The sequence below is a fragment of the Homo sapiens genome, chromosome 14 (genome assembly GCF_000001405.40).
Source record: "Homo sapiens chromosome 14, GRCh38.p14 Primary Assembly".
Classification (NCBI taxonomy): Eukaryota; Metazoa; Chordata; class Mammalia; order Primates; family Hominidae; genus Homo; species Homo sapiens.
In genome coordinates this window covers 64,433,078-64,455,465 of record NC_000014.9, presented here as the reverse complement: position 1 = coordinate 64,455,465, position 22,388 = coordinate 64,433,078, and the positions used below count along the sequence as shown (strand labels likewise).

At 43.8% G+C, this 22,388-nt stretch overlaps 2 protein-coding genes across 3 annotated transcripts in view, besides 1 other annotated feature; one reads left to right on the top strand and one right to left on the bottom strand.

The window, feature by feature from the left end:
- Positions 1-6,360, top strand: part of ZBTB25 (zinc finger and BTB domain containing 25) — a 56,108-nt gene extending 49,748 nt beyond the window's left edge. The window contains exon 3 of the mRNA NM_001304508.1: positions 5,828-6,360. Within this exon, the coding sequence (NP_001291437.1) occupies positions 5,828-5,915 (88 nt within the window). The 3' untranslated portion in view covers positions 5,916-6,360. The remainder of the gene's footprint in view (positions 1-5,827) is intronic.
- The window catches only part of MTHFD1 (methylenetetrahydrofolate dehydrogenase, cyclohydrolase and formyltetrahydrofolate synthetase 1), a 71,673-nt gene that overhangs the window by 4,560 nt on the left and 44,725 nt on the right, over positions 1-22,388 (bottom strand). For both annotated transcript variants that reach the window (NM_005956.4, NM_001364837.1), the window contains exons 16-26: positions 19,795-19,897; positions 16,294-16,370; positions 15,200-15,340; positions 14,013-14,081; positions 13,301-13,412; positions 13,064-13,203; positions 10,732-10,773; positions 7,149-7,249; positions 5,844-6,021; positions 1,605-1,712; positions 591-743 (exon numbers count right to left, since the gene is read on the bottom strand). In NM_005956.4, the coding sequence (NP_005947.3) occupies positions 591-743; positions 1,605-1,712; positions 5,844-6,021; positions 7,149-7,249; positions 10,732-10,773; positions 13,064-13,203; positions 13,301-13,412; positions 14,013-14,081; positions 15,200-15,340; positions 16,294-16,370; positions 19,795-19,897 (1,224 nt within the window). The remainder of the gene's footprint in view (positions 1-590; positions 744-1,604; positions 1,713-5,843; positions 6,022-7,148; positions 7,250-10,731; positions 10,774-13,063; positions 13,204-13,300; positions 13,413-14,012; positions 14,082-15,199; positions 15,341-16,293; positions 16,371-19,794; positions 19,898-22,388) is intronic.
- Positions 9,829-9,878: an enhancer, noted in NCBI's record as "active region_8532". NCBI's record gives its function as "activates an Ori minimal core promoter by ATAC-STARR-seq in GM12878 lymphoblastoid cells {active_cell/tissue: GM12878}" and the evidence as "EXISTENCE:reporter gene assay evidence [ECO:0000049][PMID:35858748]".

The following is a 22,388-nucleotide window of genomic DNA, read 5'->3' as shown; positions in this document are numbered from 1 at the left end:
TATTCTTCTTTGAATATGCATAAAATCTGTAAGATAAGAAAGCAATGGACACCTTGTTCACCTTGAAGCGTAAATAAGCAACCTCACCTTTCATATCTCAAGGGTCCATTTGCATTTTTTAATGGGGAAATTCCTTACTTAAAAATAATGAACCCCCTGAATTTCAGACGTAAGTTCTAGGCCTGTCAGTAAAACCTCTGTCCCTACCTCCTAGGGCTGTGGGGGGACTGAGTTAATCTATGTAAGGCTCCCAATAAACATTAACTGTGATTATGTTAGCACTACCCCAGCCTATCAACTGGGCTCATCCTAGATTCAGTGAAGAGCATACTGTCCCTGGGAAACAGAATTTTTTATTCAGTATGAGTAGTCCTGGCATCATTCTTGATTTGACACCAAGATGGTCCACAGCAAGAGCTATATAGCTCCTGCTTTATAGCTTATGATCCACAGCAATCATAATAGGCCCGATTCCAATTTTCTTCTGGGCAGTGAACTCTGCTCACTTGGCATTTGCTTGATGGTTTCGGCAACACACTTCAGACGAGAAGTGCAGATGCGCCCACTACTCCCTTGCAGCATGCACTTACCGTTCCTACTAAGGGGTACAGAAAACCAGCCCCAACGCTGGCGCGGATGTCGCGAATGGGCAGAATGAAGCCTGTAGGGACACCTTTTTGCTCTGGGTTGTGAGACAAAGACAAGTGTGTTTTAGCCATGCAGATGGGGAGATTCCCAAAGCCCTGGGGAAAGAAGGGAAGAGAGGGAGGACAAATGAAAAGATGACAACCCAGCAATGACCATCTGGGCCCTGTGATTACATGGATTCTTCAATTTATTCGAAACATCCAACTCCCTTTATATACATCTCTATCTTGCTGTCCTCCAGCTTATTTATTAAGCCAAAAAAAAAAAAAAAGAACTGTTGGGTGAGGGAGTTAGGTACTCACAACTGTAGTCCACAAGTGAATATTTTATTTCCATCTATGGAAATAACATAAAACTAATTTAAAATAATAGTTTGGAGTAGATATGAGAATAAAATTGGAGAGGGTCAGGTGCAGTGGTTCATGCCTATAAATTCCAGCACTTTGGGAGACTGAGATGGGTGGACTGCTTGAGCCCAGGAGTTCAAGACCAGCCTGGGCAACAGGGCAAAACCCCATCTCAACAAAAAACACAAAAATTAGCCAGGTGTGGTGGTGCGTGCCTGTAGGCGCAGCTACTCAGGAGGCTGAGGTGGGAGGATCGCTTGAGCCTAGGAGTCAGAGGCTGCAGTGAGCTGAAATTGTGCCACTGCACTCTAGCCTGGGCAATGGAGCCAGACCCTATCTCAAAATAACAAAAACTGGAGACGTTCTCAATATTTTGGTAAGACATTCTGTATTTCCTCATGGATTTCTACACATTCATATAACGCCTATGGGTAAATAAAGAACCAGGGACTGTGCCACCTAATCCAAACTCAGTATTTCAGAGGAGAGAAGGCTGCCACCCAGAGAAGTGAAGCAACGGGTACTTGGCAGGGCTGGGAGGACCCAGAGATTGTGACTCCAAGTCCTGCTTTGCAAAGAGTTGAAAGGACAAACTAACCAAACATCTACCTGCTTCGTGTAGACTTCAGCTTTGTGTTGAGCTTCGGGAAGTAATTCAATGTCATCTGCTCCATAGATCTTCTGTGCAATGATCCTGATTTTATCCTCAACTGGGAGCTAATGCACAAGAAAGAGATGGGGACACCATGACTGGACACATGTGAGGACATTTAACCAGGACATAGCCACATTCTAGGTCAGAGTCCCTAAAAGGGGCAGAAGATGGTTTTTATATACATATACATAAGCAAATAGTTTGAGGTTGATGATTGGGTTAAGAACACTTTCTTTTTGTTTTTTTGAGACGGAGTTTCGCTCTGTTGCCAGGCTGGAGTGCAATGGCGCGATCTCAGTTCACTGTAACCCCTGCCTCCCAGGTTCAAGCGATTCTCCTGCCTCAGCCTCCCGAGTAGCTGGGATTATAGGCATGCGCAACCAAGCCCGGCTAATTCTGTATTTTTAGTAGAGACGGAGTTTCTCCATGTTGGTCAGGCTGGTCTTGAACTCCCAACCTCAGGTGATCTGCCAGCCTTGGCCTCCCAAAGTGCTGGGATTACAGGTGTGAGCCACTGCACCCAGCCAGGAACACTTTCTTTTAATATCAAGCCTCAGATTTTATAAGTGAAAATGTCCCACAGAGGTAAAGTTTTTATATCTATATATGCAGATATACATATACACACATACATATATATATAGATATAGATACACATATTAATATATATTAAGGTTTTAAATATATACTTACATAAGTACATATTTAAAATCTCTCGCTAAGTACATCATAAACAGTGTTGCTGACTACCCAAGAATAATTATTTCTTCATAAATAAAAAGTAGATGTTCAGGCTGGGTATGGTGGCTCATCCCTGTAATCCCAGCACTTTGGGAGGAGGCCAAGGCAGGAGGATCACTTGAGCCCAGGAGTTTGAAACCAGCCTGGGCAACATAGCAACACTCTGTCTCTTTAAAAAATAAAAATTTTAAAATAATAATAAAAATTAAAAAGTAGATGTTCTATTCTAATACTGGAGATCAGTCCTGTCAAACCAGACCTGGGGACACTGTTTATGAAATAAGACAACCAATGTCCATCTACATAACTCCCAGTCTGTATATGAGAGGCAGATGCCACCCTTAACACAATTGATTAAGTGCAAGCACCAGGAATTAGGAAATAGTCATAAAATCAAAATCACCCAGGTATTAGAAAAAACAACCCAGTGATTTACATGATCAACACGCATTGGGCATGTCCACTTTCTGTGGCACCTGAAGCAAACAGTGCAGTGGACAGAGACCAGTGGTCTAACTGGTGAGGGCCTCAGTCCCATGGGCTGTTTCCTCCGGGGCAAAGCCTTCAGAGAAGTGGAGCTGGCTTCTTAAATGCTGTGTAGACTAGTTCAGGGCATTAAGATTCAAAGAGAACAGCATACGGAGAGGTTGCCTAAAGGAAATCAGAAGCAAAGCTACTCATGGGTAATTTGGATGAGCAAATTACAAAAATTAGGCAATATATCTGTCTTTATAGCAACTAAAGCTAAAAGAACATATTAGGCAGGTTCTTATTTATTTGAGACAGAGTTTTGCACTTGTTGCCCAGGCTGGAGTGCAATGGCGTCATCTCAGCTCACTGCAACCTCCGCCTCCCGGGTTCAAGAGATTCTCCTGCCTCAGCCTCCCAAGTAGCTGGGATCACAGGCATGGGCCACCATGCTTGGCTAATTTTATATTTTTAGTAGAGACGGAGTTTCACCATCTTGGTCAGGCTGGTCTCGAACTCCTGACCTTAGGTGATCCACCCACCTCAGCTTCCCAAAGTGCTGGGATTACAGGTGTGACCACAGCGCCCAGCCAAGTTTTGTTTTTAAAAGGAGCAATAATCTATCTATAAAAACAAAAATTCCCTTTTGAACTAAACAATGATAATTTATGAAGGGGCTTTATATAATGGGCATGAATAAAGTGAACATTCAATAAGGACTTTATAAAGATGAAACACAGATTATTTTCATATGCATCTCATAACTGGAGCTCTATAAATGCCAAGGCACATTTAGAACTTCTGAAGCAAAAGCACTTTGGTTGAAGGGTGATTTAAGACTAGCAGACGCTGAGTAAGACAAAAAGTGGCAGCCTCCTGTTTGCCAGAATGGATAAAAGTTGCAAGTAGAAATGGGTTCTAAAGTCCATATGTCCCTGCTCTTTCAGGTCTCCTGCTGGTTTTCAAGGACTGGGCTTCCAGCCTTGGGTGCTATGCATTGGAGCCTGGAGAGGGTGCCTATAAATGCTTTGCATTTGTGTGCAAATTTGTGTTTATGGCATTTTTCTAAAAGGATGATTGCTGAACAGATTTTAAAACTTGCCTATAAAATCAAAGCTCAACAGGAGAATGTCAATGTCAATGTTAATTAACTGTAAGTGTATTATATCTGCAAGGGGCAAAGAGAAATAAGAGAACACTAAAACTCAAGAGTAATAAGTTTATTCCTTCTGCTTTTTTATGGCTGTTTTTGAAAGTCTATGATTATCTATTAAAAACCAAGCCAGGCCAGGCACATTGGCTCATGCCTATAATCCCAGCACTTTGGGAGGCTGAGGCAGGAGGATCACTTGAACCCAGGAGTTCGAGACCAGCCTGAGCAATATAGGGAGACCCAGTCACTACAAGAAAAATAAAATAAAATAAAACAAAATTTTTTTTTTGAGACGAAGTTTCGCACTTGTTGCCCAGGCTAGAGTGCAGTGATCTCAGCTCATTGCAACGTCCGCCTCCCGGGTTCAAGCGATTCTCCTGCCTCAGCCTTCCAAGTAGCTGGGATTACAGGTGCCTGCCACCACACCCAGCTAATTTTTTGTATTTTTAGTAGAGATGGGGTTTCACCATGTTGGCCAGGCTGGTCTCCAACTCTTGACCTTAGGTGATCCACCCACCTCGGCCTCCCAAAGTGCTGGGGTTACAGGGGTGAGCCACTGTGCCTGGCCAATAAAACAAATTAGCCAGGCTTGGTAGTACATGTCTGTGGTCCCACCTACTCAGGGGGCTGAGGTGGGAGGACCACTTGGGTCCAGGAGGTTGAGGCTGCAGTGTGCCATGATTGTACCACTGCACTCCAGCCTGAGCAACAGAGCAAGACCCTGTCTTAAAACAAAAAACAAAACAAAAAAATCAAGCCAGAAACTAGCCTAGAGAATAGGAAAAATTAACTACAGCATATATCTCATATTCCTAACAAAGTTTCCAGTTGTTGTTTCCATACTACTTAATGTCAAATCACATCCTGAAATACACTGGACAGATAAATGAAAACAAAACACAACCCTATAATAAGAACCTTTTCCTGAACTAACTTTATTGTATCATAGAGTAAGCAGGGCTCTACTTAGACCAGGTGTAATTTAATTTGCTTAGTGATGGAAAAAATGATGAAGCTTCCTGGAGTACTTTGGTTTTGCATGTGAGGGCCCTCAACTTGAGGCAGCACCTTACCAGGAAGTGAACGTGGGGGCACACTTCTTTCCCCTATTACTGAAAAGCCATCAGAAAAATTTTGTAAGCTCGATGCAGCCCCTTACCAATCTGCTACATGGTTGGTGCCTTGTTTTAAAGGCTACAGTGAATTACATATTTGGTCTATATGTAACCTTCTCTTCTGCCACCTGTACTTTGACCCTTTTCGAAGTTAGGATATGAGCAACGGTTCCCCCTCCACCCTGGGGTATTCCTGCTTAAATCCCCTCTGTAAGTAAGCAGTGGCATATGTTTATAAGAAGGCTGTCTGGGCGGACGCAGTGGCTCACGCCTGTAATTCCAGCACTTTGGGAGGCCAAGGCAGGTGGATCACGAGGTCAGGAGTTCGAGACCAGCCTGGCCAAGATGGTGAAACCCCATCTCTACTAAAAAAATAAGAAAAATTAGCTGGGCACGGTGGCAGACGCCTGTAATCCCAGCTACTTGGGAAGCTGAGGCAGGAGAATCACTTGAACCCAGGAGGCAGAGGTTGCAGTGAGCTGAGATCATGCCTCTGCACTCGAGCCTGGGCAAAAGAGCAAGACTCCGTCTCAAAAATAAAAAGAAGGCTGTCTACAGCTGGGAGTCCAGGCTGTGGTTGTGTAAGTCACCTACGTGGGAATCAAACCGCAAGGCTGAAGCTGCGAAGCATGGGGCTCTAATAGAAGTAGCCACACAGAAACTTCACTGTGCCCTTTTCGTCTTTTTTCTTTTTTTGCAGACAGCAAATCACCCACCTTGAGGTCATAAAGGAGCTGGAAGCTGCTGGGTGCTTGTGCTGCTCTCTGGACGGCCTGAGCCAGGGCTAAGGCACCCTTGCCCCCTTCTGCCCAGTGAGTGCACTTCACGGCATCAAAAGCCCCATGTTCTCTGGAAAGGCGGCTGATGAGGTCCAGCTCAGACTCTGTATCCGTCCTATAAAGGAAGCATTTCATATCAAAGCATGGAAAATGGCTGGAGAGACAGAATTGTCTTCTTTTTGCCATTAAACCTCATGTGAATTACCCACTGATAAACGAACACTAACCAAGAAATTTGGCCTGGGTTTGAATCTCAGCTCCGAAACTTACTAGCTGGTGACTTTTGGCCAGTTACCTAATCTTTATGTGCCTCAATTTCCACCCTGGTAATACGCGAATAATCACAGCACTTATTTCATTGGGACGTTATGAGACTCAGATGGTAAATCCATGTAAAATACTTGGAAAATTCCCAGCACTCCAGAAGGAATCAGTAAATACTAGCATTTAAGAATTTTGCTGGCTGGGCGCGGTGGCTCACACTTGTAATCCCAACACTTTGGGAGGCCGAGGTGGGAGAATCACGAGGTCAGGAGATCGAGACCATCCTGGCTAACACGGTGAAACCCCGTCTCTACTAAAAATACAAAAAATTAGCTGGGCATGGTGGCAGGCACCTGTAGTCCCAGCTACTAGGGAGGCTGAGGCAGGAGAATGGCATGAACCCGGGAGGCAGAGCTTGCAGCGAGTGGAGATCGTGCCACTGCACTCCAGCCTGGGCAACAGAGACAGACTTCGTCCCCCAAAAAAAAAAAAAGATTTTTTGCTTCCCATTCTACTACGGTGAGGCCATTATAACAAAACCCTGACCACCAATGCAATACCTAAACAACCCACACAAGTTCTTGCATGACCCCTTCCAGAGTAATATGCCCAATTCTTTGTCAAGACAACATCCCACCAGATCTAGTAAAATAATGGAACACTATAGGCCTATGACCTTCTGTTAGCATAAAAGGCCTCTAAAGATGAAAAAGGAACATTGAACTTCAGGCTTGTGTGTTACTTCCCCCAGTGGAAAGGAAAAGGGCCCATAGGAGCTGAATCTGACTTTGGGACCCTCAGTGGGTGAGGTGGTGAGCCCGCAGTGACGTATGCAATGCCTGTCACAGTGCAGGCTAAAACCACAGGCTATAACCAATAGCAGTAACTGAAAAACAAAATAAAGCTAAAAGCAGTGCTGTACAATCAGCTCCAGGAGATTTTCCACATTCATCCTTTTCGCTTACACTCTACACTTACTTGAATGCATTCACGGCCACTACTACTGGAATTCCAAACATTCTGGCATTTTCAATTTGTTTCTTCAAGTTACTGAAGCCTTTTTCAACCAGCTCCAGGTTCTGTAAAAACAACAGTGAAAGGCCTATGAGATCAGAGAGTTGAAAACCACTGCAGGTTCTTCTTCAAAGGCAAACAACCTCCTTGAGCCAGCAGCCACTCACTATCAGGACAAGGAGGCCAAGAAAGAAGAGAGAAGGTCCCTTGGTGCATTTTTTCCAGTGCGGTGAGTGGATGCTATGGAGAACTGCAGCTTTCACTCCAGCCTATGACACTAGAGTAGAGCTCTGCTTGTTTCCCAGCCTTCAAGAAAAAAAGAGCTGGTATGTTTCCTGTCATTATGCCACATCATTATAGCTTATTTGCTGTTTGAAAGGAATTAGTTACCCTTACCCAAATTATATTTACCAATTGTGTTTATAGATTTTATGTATTCATAGGGTTATGATAATACAAATTAACTCTACTCTGCACAGCACAGACCCTTCCATCAGAAGACAGAGCCTAACAACATAGTGGCTGGCACAGAAGAGGTATTCGTTATATGGCTGCCGTAAATACTGCCAGGAAATATGAAGTAAGCAGTGATGTTTTCAAAGGTTTTAATGAACTCGACCGTGAACGAGGGCAAGAAATAAGATAAATACTATCTTTAGGAATCAGGCCAGTGGCTGGGCCCAGTGGCTCACACTTGTAATCCCAGGACTTTGGGAGGCTGAGGCAGGAGAATCCACTTGAGCCCAGGAGTTTGAGACAAGCCTAGGAAACATAACAAGACCCCATCTCTACAACTGAGAAGTTAATTAAAAAAAAAAAAAAAAAAAGGGCCGGACCTGGTGGCTTATGCCTGTCATCCCAGCACTTTGGGGGGCCGAGGCAGGTGGATCACAAGGTCAAGAGATTAAGACTATACTGGCCAACATGGTGAAACCCCGTATCTATTAAAAATATAAAAATTAACTAGGTGTGGTGGCAGGAACCTGTAGTCCCAGCTGCTTGGGAGGCTGAGGGAGGAGAATCACTTGAACCCCAGAGGCGGAGGTTGCAGTGAGTTGAAATTGCACCACTGCACTCCAGCCTGGTGACAGAGCAAGACTCTGTCTCAAAAAAAAAAAAAAAAAAAAAAAAAGAACTGAGCTGGATGTGGTAGCTCACACCTGTAATCCCAGTACTTTGCGAGGCTGAGATCGGAGGATCACTTGCACCTAGGAGTTCGACAGCAGCCTGCCTGGGCAACATAGGGAGACCCCGTCTCTACAAAAAATTAAAAAATTAGCCTGGTGTGGTGGCGTGTTCCTGTTCTTCCAGCTAGTTGGGAGGTTGAAGCGGGGAGACTGCTTAAGCCCAAGAGTTAGAGGCTGCAGCTATGATCACGCCTCTGCAGTCCAGCCTAGGTGACAGAGTGAGACCCTGTCTGTAAAAAAAACCCCAAAAACCGGCTGGGCGTGGTGGCTCATGCCTGTAATCCCAGCACTTTGGGAGGCCGAGGCGGGTGGAACACGAGGTCAGGAGATCGAGACCATCCTGGCTAACACGGTGAAACCCCGTCTCAACTAAAAATACAAAAAAATTAGCCGGACATGATGGTGGGTGCTTGTAGTCGCAGCTTCTTGGGAGGCTGAGGCAGGAGAATGGTGTGAACCCAGGAGGCGGAGCTTGCAGTGAGCCGAGATCACACCACTGCACTCCAGCCTGGGTAATAGAGCCAGACTCCATCTCAAAACAAAACAAAACAAAAAAACCCACCAAAAACCAAGTACTACAAACTAAAGGGAAGCAATTAAGGAAATGTATCTTTAAGTATGTTTACTGCAGCCCTGCTTGTAGCATTGGAAAATTATAAACATAAACCTCCTCCAAGGGGGACTGGGCCAATGAATTATGACATATACACTCAATAAATATTTATCATGCAGATGTTATGAAAGTGAGACCCATCTGTGTTAACATGGAACCTGTCCAAGATGTACTAAAGGTGCAAAACCATGGAGAGCTTAATTATTCCATTTTAGGACAAACACAAAAATACATGTATATAATTCATGAAAAATTTTTAAATGTCGAGAAATATGCACCGAACTGTTAAGGGGACTCAACTCACATATATTACATTCTTATAATGTTTAATTATTATTTTTTACAAAGGGTATATTACTATTGTAGGCTTAACAATACATTAAATATTTTAAAAATAAAAGAGTCTTCTATAAAAATACATATACTGAATCATCGAGCAAAACCCAGCACTAATGTTTGTTGATCCCAAAAAAGCAGAAATAGGTAGGATAAAAGGTGGAAAACAACTAGGTTCATTATAAATGTGATTTATGCTTTTTTCCTTTAATAATTGAAAACTGAGATTATGATTTATTTGAGCTTCTAAAGAACACTGCTAATTCTTTACCTCTAGTCACATGAAAACCAATTAATATGTAACGCTGATCAAGAACAGTTTTAAATAAGTAGAATTTCTTAAATGAAGACACCAGCTGGGCCAGCTAGGGGCAGTCACTGTAATTAGACACAGGAAAGGCTGTGGGGTGGCAGGAGGGCCAGAACTGTGAATTCCCCTCCTACGCGTGAATCAGACAAATGACCATAAAAGGCAAACCATAACTCAGAAGACAGGCAGACTGAAGGTACCAGCAATTTTTTCTAGCCAGTTTTGAAATACTTCATTTGGGGCCTGAACAGTGACCCTGTATTGCTTGATAATTTAAAAGCCTTCCAAAAAGGCAGAAAAATTGAATTAGCAGTGACAGCAGGTGACCTTGCCACCTTATCTGATGGCCTGTCTTTCCTGTAACCACCCCAAACTGGCTTTAGAGATGTTTCTTTGATGGTAAATGACATAAATATGAAAAGATTTGAGCTCACAGTTGTTCTCTAGCCTCCTGTTTGATGCTATAAATATCCAGGAAGCTTTGTCTAGAAAAACAACCAGAATCCTGACCATATATCTTGGCCCGTTAATATGGATTTAAATCGGCAGAGGAGAAGCCATTTCAAAAAAGGTCTCTACTTGCTTCTGATCTGAATGGCATTTGGAACTTACCCAGCCAATGCAGGGAAGACAATGGAAGGGAACTGCTATTAGTCTAGGACAGGGTTTCTCAGCCTCACACTCCGACATTTGAGCTGGATAATGTTGTAGGGGCTGTCCTGTGCATTAAAGGATGTTTAGCCAGCATCCCCAGTTTCTACCCACTAGATTCCAGTAGCACTCCCCACCTCCAGTTGTAATAATAAAAAAAGTCTCTAGACATTGCCAAATGTCCCCGGGGTCAAAATCAGCTGTTGAGAATCAACCACTGGTCTAGGGCAGTGGCTTATTGACACCCTATGTGGGACAATTCTATTTTGTGAGGTACATCTTCCCTATCTACTCATTTAATATAACTCCTCAGCACACTGCAGGCCTTTTGGCACCCTGCACCCTGGGTCACAGCAATAACCCATTCATTTCCACATGGGCCAGGTGGAGAAATGCTGATTCAAGGTGTGGTGCTTTCTAGGACACGTGATGAGAAATAACTCAGGTTACCTCCTGTATGTAAGCCTTGGGAAGAGGCAGTCCAGCAGTGACCTGGAAGGAAAAGAAACAGAGTCAGAGGCATTTCCTATTTAAATCTCCTAGCTTAAAATGGTGCTTTTCATGTGTTAAAGGCAAGACGCTGCAATGCTTGCAGGCTGTACAGTAGTATAAGATTATTTCCTGCCCTAAGGACTTAGGGTATGTGACCAATCACACAGCACAGAACAAAATCGACTGCTTTGGGCAGCGTGGAAGACCTCTATGACCTGAATTAAGGAGGTGAGAAGGACCGGATCGATGGCAGGAGAGGTGGAAAGGGGTGTACCAAGCAGGTGCAGTGACTCGAGTGAAGGCCATAGCAGTGGGGTTGGAAGTCAAGGGGAGTGTGGGGAAAGAGGAAGCGGTCGGGCCTGCGGAAGTCACCCTGGGATGTCTGTCGATAGAGCCCGTGATGAGCCCTGCCATGGTTTCATGAACTGGTCCACAGTGCCAACCTAGCATTGGTGGAGCTGAACCGTGGTGCAGGGTCAATACAAACAAGAGGGAAAACAATACAGAAGGATTTTCTTTCTCTTTTGTAGAGTATATCTAAAGGATGGAGGTGTCTGGTGCCTCCCCGCCCCGCCCCCCAGCCCCCAGTCTTGATCTATGCCGTGGCTCAGCCCTGCTGCATCCACAGAAATGAGCAAATGGGTGAAGGTGTCCATTTCATGGGCCCCACCATGGGCAGTGGATAGTGATTAAGAAGCTCTGCCCTCTTCCATTGCAGTGAGACTATGTGCTCCAACTCCAGAAGGGGCTGTGTGGAGGCAGAGCAAGAAGCAAGGACCTTACAGGTAGCTTCCCGTCAGCAAGCTAATGAGAGCAGGAGGCCTACTCTCTTGACAGAGCCATATGTGCAAATGTTCCCCTCCATGCACAGCATTATGGGACATTATCCTGACTGTGAGGTCAGGAGGAAGCAAGGAAAGGAGGTGTGATGGTGTGAGGGTGAGTGAGGGGTGTAAGAGAGAGGAATGTTAGTTGTGACTGGGAAAAAAAAGGGAGTCTATCCTGTGCTACTAGCAGAAAGGAGTGTGCTGGGTTGGGAGTGCCTTTGGCACTCAGGGATAACTAAGACTGGATAGGGGTGCTGGGGTTGTTATGGCAGCATTCCCAGTGTGCTCCGGGGACCCAATCCTTTGAAGGGGTCCATGAAGTCAAAACTATTTCCATAAGATTCTGTAACATCTTATGGCCCTTTTACTCTCATTATCATTCTCTCATTGAGCATATAATGGACTTTTCCAAAGGTTATGAGACATGTGATGTCACAACAGATCAAGTGCTGTCTTCAATTAAGCCAGACCCAGAGAAGATCTGAAAAATGTACAATGCCTAAATTTTGCTGGGAAAAGATAATGCATTTTCATGTTTACAAAGTTCTTTATGTTTACATGTAACTCAGTTTTAATTTCTAATATGGTAAATATCAATAGCTATAACCCATATGAACAAAAACTCTTTTAGGCTCTCAATAACTGTCAAGAGTGTAAAGAGGTTCTGAGGCCAAAACAGAGAACTGCTACATTAGGACAAACCCTGACCAAAACAAATTTGATTTTTATCCTGTAGGCCAGGGAGTCCTTATTTCCTAAGTTATAATACAAGCTCCTGGTGGACAGGAATTTAATAGTTTTTCAAATGATTTCAGAAAACCTAGCACCATGTCTTTTCATGTAGGCCCTAAAGAAAAGGTGTTAAAATACTAGGATAAAAAGTAGTAGGAATTTCTAAGCAGTAGGAATTCAGAGAAATACAAAATTCAGGCTGGAGGTGAGGATGAGCCAGTCTCCACCTGTTTCTCTGTTACCCAGGGCAGCCCTGGGCAGATCTGCCATTCTCCTCTCCCCCACTCCCTCCCTAGGGTGTGGAGGCCCTGTCCAGCATGAACAGTATACTCAAGAAGGGGCTGACCTCTGTCTCAGCTAACTGGTTTGGTTGGCTGGTTGCCAGTGTCACTATACAGAGGGATGCAGATTTAAAAAGAACAGTCTGAACGTAAAACAGTTTTTTGTGGGGCTAGCCGAGTACACGTCCTTGGAGGGGTTTAGATATTGTCAGATGTCCTCCGAAAGGTAGGCCAGGCAGCCGATTTTGGCCCTCTTAAAATGCTGAGCGCTGACGGTGCCTGTGAGTGATAAGGCAGCCAACACAAGGGCTGTCTGCCCGTCCCTTGCTTTTGCTGCCTGTTAATCACGAGGATAAGAGCAACTCAATGAAGAAACAGGCAGAAGTCATCCAACTTCCTTTTGGCCGTCAGCACACTGCCGATAATCAGATACTTCAACCCACCACTCACCGTGGGGCCGCCCCCGTGCATCTTGAGAGCCCTGACAGTGGCAACAAGCACCACCACGTGGGGGCAGAGGCCGGAATACCGGCATTTGATGTTAAAAAACTTTTCCATTCCAATGTCTGCTCCAAATCCTGCTTCCGTCACTGTAAAGAGGAAAGCAACAGTAAAAATGCCATCCCAATTCCCCTGATGTTAAAAGAAACATACAGTCTATTCACTGGTTTTGCAAAAAACACTAACCTACAAACCCTTCTGGGCCAACAAGCTTGAGTGCGATCCGGTCTGCAATGATGGAGGAATTGCCATGTGCGATGTTGGCAAACGGGCCAGCATGGACAAACACTGGAGTGCCCTGTGGAAACCAGGACACCGTGAGCTGAGCTGCCAATCCTGCTTCAAAGTGGGATCACACATTCAACGGTATGGAATTGATTTGGAATCGGAAGGAAGAATACTTCCCAGAGGGAAAATATAAAGTCATCTCTTTTATTTCAGTAACGTCCCAGTCACAGGTGTGAGGAAGAATGAGAAGAAAGAGATGAGCAAGTGGAGAAGGTCTTGACTACCCAGGTTAAGTGTGCTTAATTTTTTTTTTTTTTTTTTGACACGGAGTCTCGCTCTGTCGCCCAGTCTGGAGTGCAGTGGCGTGATCTCGGCTCACTGCAAGCTCTGCCTCCCAGGTTCACGCCATTCTGCCTCAACCTTCCGAGCAGCTGGGACTACAGGCGCCCGCCACCATGCCCGGCTAATTTTTTGTATTTTTAGTAGAGACGGGGTTTCACCATGTTAGCCAGGATGGTCTCGATCTCCTGACCTTGTGATCTGCCCACCTTGGCCTCCCAAAGTGCTGGGATTACAGGTGTGAGCCACCGCGCCTTGCAAGTGTGCTTTATAACCACTCTGCTCTGACTGTCCAAAACCAATTCAAGAAGGCAGGAGTCACTCTGCTCACCTCCAGTGTCTGCATGAGATTGGGCTTGATTGCGTCCTTCATAAGCACTGTCAGTGCACCACTCACCCCCTACAAAACAAATGTGTGCAGCATCAACTCCCACCAGCAAAAAAACCCAACCTTCTGAAACCAATATTTGACATTCTAGGCTTACCCATGTTAGCCATCTTGGACCAATTGATACTTTCACCTGAATTGGACCATTCATGGTTTTTTTCTGGATATGCTATGAAGTTGCCAATTATTAAATTATTTATTTTTTGAGACGGAGTCTGGCTGTGTTGCCCAGGCTGGAGTGCAGTGGTGCAATCTCGGCTCACTGCAAGCTCCACCTCCCAGGTTCACGCCATTCTCCTGCCTCAGCCTCCCGAGTAGCTGGGACTACAGGCACCCGCCACTATGCCCGGCTAATTTTTTTGTATTTTTAGTAGAGACAGGGTTTCATTGTGTTAGCCAGGATGGTCTCAATCTCCTGACCTTGTGATCCACCCGCCTCAGCCTCCCAAAGTGCTGGGATTACAGGCATGAGCCACCACGCCTGGCCAAAGTTGCCAGATAGAATACAAATGACATTCACATGTAATATCTGGAAAAACATGTAACTCTAGAAACAAGCATCTTAATCAAGCTCAGCTGCTGACTGATGTGAGAAATCCATTCTAGACTATTTTAGAGCACGACAATGCTCGTTCCCAGAGTACTCAGTTATTTGTAACTCTGGTATCTGGGCAGAAATTTCTATAAATACCAAACTCAATATGTGTCTTCCAAAGCTGAAACTGCAATATTACGCAAGAGTTCAATACCAACTTTTAACATCAGGTCACTCTATTAAGCCATCAAAGTGTAGCTGAACTACCTAGCAACAAAGATAAAGCAATGGTACTCTTGATGTTCTCTGCAAATTGAAGTCATACACCCACTTTTAGAGATGCCCACAGGATGAAGATGTTACTCAAATCATCTGGAACTTGTGATCTATTACTAAAGCATACCAGCTATTATTCACTCTGATGTACTTTTTAAACATTTCATAATTATCTTGTAATTAGCAAAATAGGATTAAATTGATGAATTAATTGCAATGTCTTAAGTACAGCATTACATTTTGTTATTAATAACTGCTGAAAGACCCTAGGACAACAGACACAGATATGTCGCCAAGCCTGGCGTGTCTGGGTACCCACCAGATCTTCGGCACTGACGGGCTCTCCTTTCTTACTGGATGCCACCACCATTTTGCCCAGTCTCTCTCTCATGTCTTCTAGAGAAGTGGTGAGAGCCAGGACAGCCATAATTTCACTGGCCACAGAGATATCAAACTGGGCCTGTGGGCAGGGAAAAGAGGTACTAGCAAAAACTTTGTGTTAAACCAGAAGTGTGAATTGCAAAAGTGATCCTCTTTTACATCTGAGGCTTAAACAAATAGCTTAAAAGGATAGAATAACAGAATACTACCCAAAATACTTAATGAAAATAATCCTCTAATAGCAAAAAAATATATTAATTAATTATTCCAAGACCCTGAGTTGTCATTTTTTTTTTTTTTTTTTTTTTTTGGAGACAGAGTCTCGGTCTGTTGCCCAGGCTGGAGTGCAGTGGCACAATCTTGGCTCAATGCAACATCCACCTCCTGGGTTCAGGCAATTTTCGCGCCTCAGCCTCCCAAGTAGCTGGGATTACAGGCGCGTGCCACCATGCCCAGCTAGTTTTTGTATTTTTTTAGTAGAGATGGGGTTTGGCCGGGCTGATCTCGAACTCCTGACCTCAAGTGATCCGCCCGCCTCGGCCTCCCAAAGTGCTGGGATTACAGGCGTGAGCCACCACGCCCAGCCCTGAGTTGTCAGTTTTTTAAAATAAATGTTATAGTAGGACCAAAAAGCTATGATTTTATCCCTATGAAGGCCGCTTATAATCATGCGCTTATTGTTTCTTTCATATACAAGGGAATAATATGGTACCTCTTAAACCAAGGAGATATACAGTGAAATGGCCACAAAAAAGAAGCAATTTTAATCAATTTCTATGCAAGGATATTCACTTGGGGCTCTCCACCTCCAGGAAAAAATGCCGGGGGAAAAACACACAGGTGACACATGGGATTTATTGCAAAAGCTGTCAGGAGTGCTCAATGCCACACACCTACTCACTTCCATTTTAAAAGGGAGAAGGCAGAACAACACCTGGCAGTATCAGTCGTATGAGAGAGGATGGAGGAGGAGAGAAGCAGCAAGATCTAGTGCCTCTGAACTAATTTCCTTGGAAAGGGACAAATTGTTACCGTCCGTGTGTGACCCTTCTCCGTTGGAGCCTGTCCAATCGTGATCTTCCTCAGGAATCTATCATTGGTATCCAACACTACAGCAGACAGGCAAGATATAGAACGATTTTGAGTAAAAGGACCACAAAGTTAAAGGAAGCAGCAGAGTTTTAAAGCAATAAGTCTAATTTCATGATTGTCTATCAATATTTCAAAATGGATGGCAAAGCTAGAATATGTGTTAAAGTTAAGAAATGATGTTCATATACCATAAATACACAGGAGTTATTTTTACAGCAAAGGAATGTGGAATGGCTTGGTTTTATCCCATCTAGAGAATTCAAACAGTTAACTAGAAATCTGGAATCTATTTTAAAGCATATTCCACATATAAGAAAAACAGAGCAGTCTACATTTTTTCAAAAGACTGAGGTTTGTGTTGTTGTTCTGTGGGATGATGACTCATTGACTTTCCACCACCGTAAGAAATGCAGGAGCCATCAAATCAGGGCAAGTGCAAATATCTTTTGAAACACGCTGGGTGCCAGGCCTGGTCTGGAAATTTAGGAAACATAGCACACTTAGCAGAGAGAATTTTTATTCTGATGACAGAATATCTATCCAATTATATAACCACAAAAAACATGGCAAAGACCAAGCAACTAACCAACTAACGACCTCCCAGGACTAACTACTGTTAACATTTTAGTGTACCCTCAGTTCTGGCTTTTGGTATGTGTAGTGTAATAGGAAATATATTTGACCTTTGTCATGGGTTCCTGACAAAAGGCTCACAGAGCTCTTGGAATTCCAAGGGTGATAGGAGTGTCTTGTTATTCATTACAAACTCCTTTTGATCACACCTGAGTTTATGGTAATAAGTTACTTATGGTAGGTCTCCTAGACAGCCTCAGGAAAGGAATGGTCACCAAAAAGACCAAATGATTAGAGGGCTGGAACTTTCAGTCCCACCCACCAACCTCTGGGTAAGGTGTTAGGGGTGTATAAAACTCTTGAACAGGCCGGGCACAGTGGCTCACGCCTGTAAATCCCAGCACTTTGGGGGGCCAAGGTGGGCAGATCACCTGAGGTCAAAAGTTCGAGGCCAGCCTGACCAACATGGAAAAACCCTGTCGCTACTAAAAATACAAAATTAGCCGGGTGTGGTGGTGCATGCCTGTAATCCCAGCTTCTCAGGAGGCTGAGGCAGGAGAATCGCTTGAACCCGGGAAGCAGAGGTTGCAGTGAGCTGAGATCACTCCATTGCACTCTAGCCTAGGCAACAAGAACAAAACTCCGTCTCAAAAAAAAAACTCTTGAACAACATGATTTGATGAGCCTCTGGGCTGGTGAACACATCCAGGTGCTGGGAGAGTGATGCCCCCTACGCTTCTCTTCCATCTGGTTGTTTCTGAGCTGTATCCTTTATAATAAACCATAAACACAAGTGAAATGCTTCTCTGAGTTCTGTGAGCCATTCTAGCAAATGAACCTGAGCAGGGGGTTGTGGGGACCCTCCAGTTTATAACCAGTTGGTCAGAAGCACAGGTGACAACCTGGACTTGCGATTCGTGTCTGAAGTGGGGCAGTCTTTTAGGACTGAGCCCTTTACCTGTAGGATCTGCTCCAGACAGTTAGTGTCAGAATTGAGTTAAATCATAGGATACTCAGTCAATATCCACTGGAGAAGTGAAAGCTGAATTGTTGTGGAAGAGAAAAACTACCCATCTGGTGTCAGAAGTGAGGTGCTGAGAGTACTATGAGTATAGAGAGGAAACAGGAGTTGCCATTTCAGTATCAAATGCCAAACAATATCAAAGAAACACAAAATTAAATTGATCCATATTCCTACTAATAACATCATTGCTGATGGCTGAATATGTTTTAGAACAGAGTTTTTCATCTTAGAGATTGGTGAAGCAGTGTAAGGATGTGAGAAGCTCACAGAGTACAAATTTGCCTATATATTTTGTGGGTTTTTTTTTCAAGATGTTTTCTATTTCAAAATTAAAATAATTTCAAAGTAAAAACACACACACACACAAAATGAACAAAAAAACCCAGTTCATACTCTAAATGAGTCAAGGAGGAGAAGCATTTTTAAGGCACTTGATAATATGCCAAATTATTTTCCATAAAGACTGTCATAATTTCATACCAAAAGCAGTGTCTTATATAGCAATCAGACACACACACCCCCCACTCTTGCTGTAATGTGTTGTTAAAGCCAACCCTTATTTTTCAAAAGAAAAAAGTATCAGGTTTCATGTAACTAATATTTCTGTAAAAAATAGCTAGTCAATAGGTATGACTGCCTCTAGTTGCTTAGAAAACATGAATGAGACACGAAGCAAAAGAAAAGTAAATCGGATACTAAATCTTCAAAATGGACTTTTAGCTTATTCCTTATAAAATATTATACCATTTGTCTAAAGCTATTGAAGCAAAGGAAGAGAAATTCCAATGTGGTTTTAGACATTGAGAGTGTCATCTAAATAAGGCCATTAGCTAGCAACGGTTATTGAGTCAAGGAAAATCACAAAAACAGTCAATAAACTGGCCTTCAGCTCTATTCTGCATGAGTGGATGAAGATTCTTTCTCAATAGTGATACAGAATAGAAGGTTGCATTGTTGATGCAAAGTGAAATCTAAGCTACACTAGTTGTGCATTGAGAAAAGTAGCATATGGCAGTGAAGCCAGGAAACCTACTTACTGAACTGGTAAGTATTTAAACCTTGAAGGCTACCTAATATGCTATAAGAGAATTTAATAAAATGAGGTAAAAAAATGATTAGGTAGGCCGGGTGCGGTGGCTCATGCCTGTAATCCCAGCACTTTGGGAGCCTGAGGTGGGCGGATCATGAGGTCAGGAGATTGAGACCATCCTAGCTAACATGGTGAAACCCTGTCTCTACTAAAAATACAAAAAATTAGCCGGGCATGATGGCGGGTGCCTGTAGTCCCAGTTACTCGGGAGGCTGAGGCAGGAGAATGGCGTGAACCTGGGAGGCAGAGCTTGCAGTGAGCCGATACTGTGCCACTGCACTCTAGCCTGGGCGACAGAGCGAGACTCCATCTCAAAAAAAAAAAGATTAGGTAAGCTAGAGAACTACAGAAAAAAATCAAGTCATTTATGCCACACAAGAGTTCTAAGAATAAAGGTCACACATGATTCAAGAAGTGATTAAACATAATTTCTCTACTTCATGACACTAAAACTTTTTGCATAAAATTAAATTTGTAAAATGTGATTTTTGGTTTAACTACCCTAATTTCAGTCAACACTGAATAGCCAGCAAAATGTTCGACCAATCCAACAAAGAGATTTGATGATAGCTAATAAGGAGAGATACTGAGAGAGGTGGCAAGAAAAAGAAATAATGTCACCATCTTGGTCATGCCTTAGCTGGTAAAATACCAACATGGAAGCTTCTGAGCCTCACATTTTAACAACTCTTCTGGAGGGTGTAGGGTGTGCAATATAGCCAAAACAAACGGGGCTTGTATACTGCTCTGGTACCTCTTTGCCAAGTTATGGTTTCTGGATCAATGTCCAATCTTGCAAATCTGTTTATCTCTTCATCTGTCAGTGTGGTAGGGTCAGTCTTTTCAATGCCTAGTCTCTGAAAGTGTAGGAAAATGAAAACATAAAATAAGACAAACAGAAGCACAATAAACGTAAGACAAAAATTTTGACCCCTACCTCTAAATGGGATCCCCTCTAGGAAATGCAAACCATCTTAAATTCAGAAGGAAAAACTGAAAGCTGGGGGTTATTTCCTACTGTCAGCCTAAAGAAAGACATTACAAAAAATTATCTCCAAGTAGGTTGAGTTTATTCAGGAATGAGCAACGAGGATTATAACCTGGGATGCCACAAATATGCCTAGTGAGGGAAGGGAAGATTTTACTAGCAAAGAAGGAGAGCTTCAGCTAGGCGTGAAGCTCAGCCTGTGGCTGAGCCTGTAATCCCAGCACTATGGGAAGCTGAGATGGGCAGATCACCTGAGGTCAGGAGTTTGAGACCAGCCTGGCCAACACGGTGAAACCCTGTCTCTACTAAAAAATACAAAAATTAGCTGGGCATGGTGGTGGGTGACTATAATCCCAGCTACTTGGGAGGCTGAGACAGCAGAACTGCTTGAACCCAGGAGGTAGAGGTTGCAGTAAGCCAAGATCACGCCACTGCACTCCAGCCTGGGTGAGACTCCATCTCAAAAAAAAAAAAAAAAAAAAAAAAAAGAAAAGAGGGAGAGCTTCACGTAGTCTGCTTAGAGAGTTCAGGTCAAGGCTGCAGTGAGCCATGATTGTGCCACTGCACTACAGCCTGGGTGACAGAGCAAGACCCTGTCTCAAAAAAAAAAAAAAAACAGAATTCATCGCTCCCAGAAGCTCAAAGCCAGAGTTGTCAATTCATTGGTGCAGTTGCCGTTGCTGGATAAGTGTACTTTCAAGAGCATCTTATCTGAATTACTCCCATCCTGAAGAATGTCTAGTGATAAGTCTTGTCATGGAAACATAAGTATACATTTGAAATGTGCAAGCTGTGCAAAGCAGGAGATGTGTGAAGGACGTGAAGGGATTTCTTTTGGGGTTTTATAAAGTTGTTGGAAACAATTTTTGCTTTTGTTTTTTTGAGATGAGGTCTCATTCTGTCACTTAGGCTAGATTATAGTGGCCCAATGATAGCTCACTGCAACCTTGAACTTCTGGGTTCAAGGGATGCTCCTGCCTTAGCCTCCCGAGTAGCTGGGTATAACTACAGGTGCATGCCACCACACCTGGCTCGTTTTTAAATTTTTTTGTAGAGACGAGGTTTTGCTTCATTGCTCAGGCTGGTCTCGAACTGCTGGGCTCAAGTCATCCTCCTGCCTTGGCCTCCCAAAGTGCTGGGATTACAGGCCTTGCAAACAGTTCTTATCACAGACACGTAAGTGTAAGCCTCCTCTTCTTCATGTTTTCCCAGCCCTGTTTTTTCTGGGTCTGACAAAAGTGATTTTATCCCGATATCTGCAAATTCACATTACTCACACATGTACAAAGGTATTATTAACATGTTTGTCCCTATAACTGAGCACCAGAAGATTTCCCTAAGCCTAGACCTAAATAATCATAGTATCATAGTGACCAAGAAGTGTTGTAAAACACAAACCCAATTTTTTTTGAGACAGTCTCTGTCTGTCACCCAGGCTGGAGTGCAGTGGGGCATCCTCAGCTCACTGCAACCTCCGCCTCCCAGGTTCAAGCGATTCTCTTGTGTCAGCCTCTCGAGTAGCTGGGGCTACAGGCGTGCACCACCATGCCCAGCTAATTTTGTATTTTTAGTAGAGATGGGGTTTCTCCATGTTGGTCAGGCTGGTCTCAAACTCCCAACCTCAGGTGATCCACCTGCCTCAGCTTCCCAACGTTCTGGGATTACAGGTATGAGCCACCACGCCTGGCCTCCTCATCTCTTAAAAAAAAAAAAAAAAAAAAAATGCTGAGCTCAGTGGTTCATGCAAGTAATCCCAGCACTTTGGTATGCCAAGGTAGGCAGATTGCTTGAGCCCAGAAGCTTGAGATCAGCCTGGGCAACACGGCAAAACCCGGTCTCTACACAATATATAAAAATCTGGGCATGGTGGTACCTGGCTGTAGTCTCAGCTACCTAGTTGGGTGAGGTGGGAGAATCACTTGAGTCCTGGAGGTTGAGGCTGTAGTAAGATGTGATTGCACCACGGCACTCCAGCCTGGGTGACAGAGTAAAAGCTTTTCTCAAAAACATAAACAAACAGGCCGGGTACAGTGGCTCACGCCTGTAATCCCAGCACTTTGAGAGGCCAAGGCGGGTGGGTCACCTGAGGTCAGGAGTTCGAGACCAGCCTGGCCAACATGATGAAACCTTCTCTCTACTAAAAATACCAAAATTAGCTGGGCATGGTGGCAGGCACCTGTAACCCCAGCTATTCAGGCTGAGGCAGGAGAACTGCTTGAACCTGAGAGGTGGAGGTTGCAGTGAGCTGAGATCACACCATTGCACTCCAGCCTGGGAGATAGAGTGAGACTCTGTCTTAAACAAACAAACAAACAACCAACCAATAAATTTTTGAAAAATTAAAAAACAGAAAAACAAAA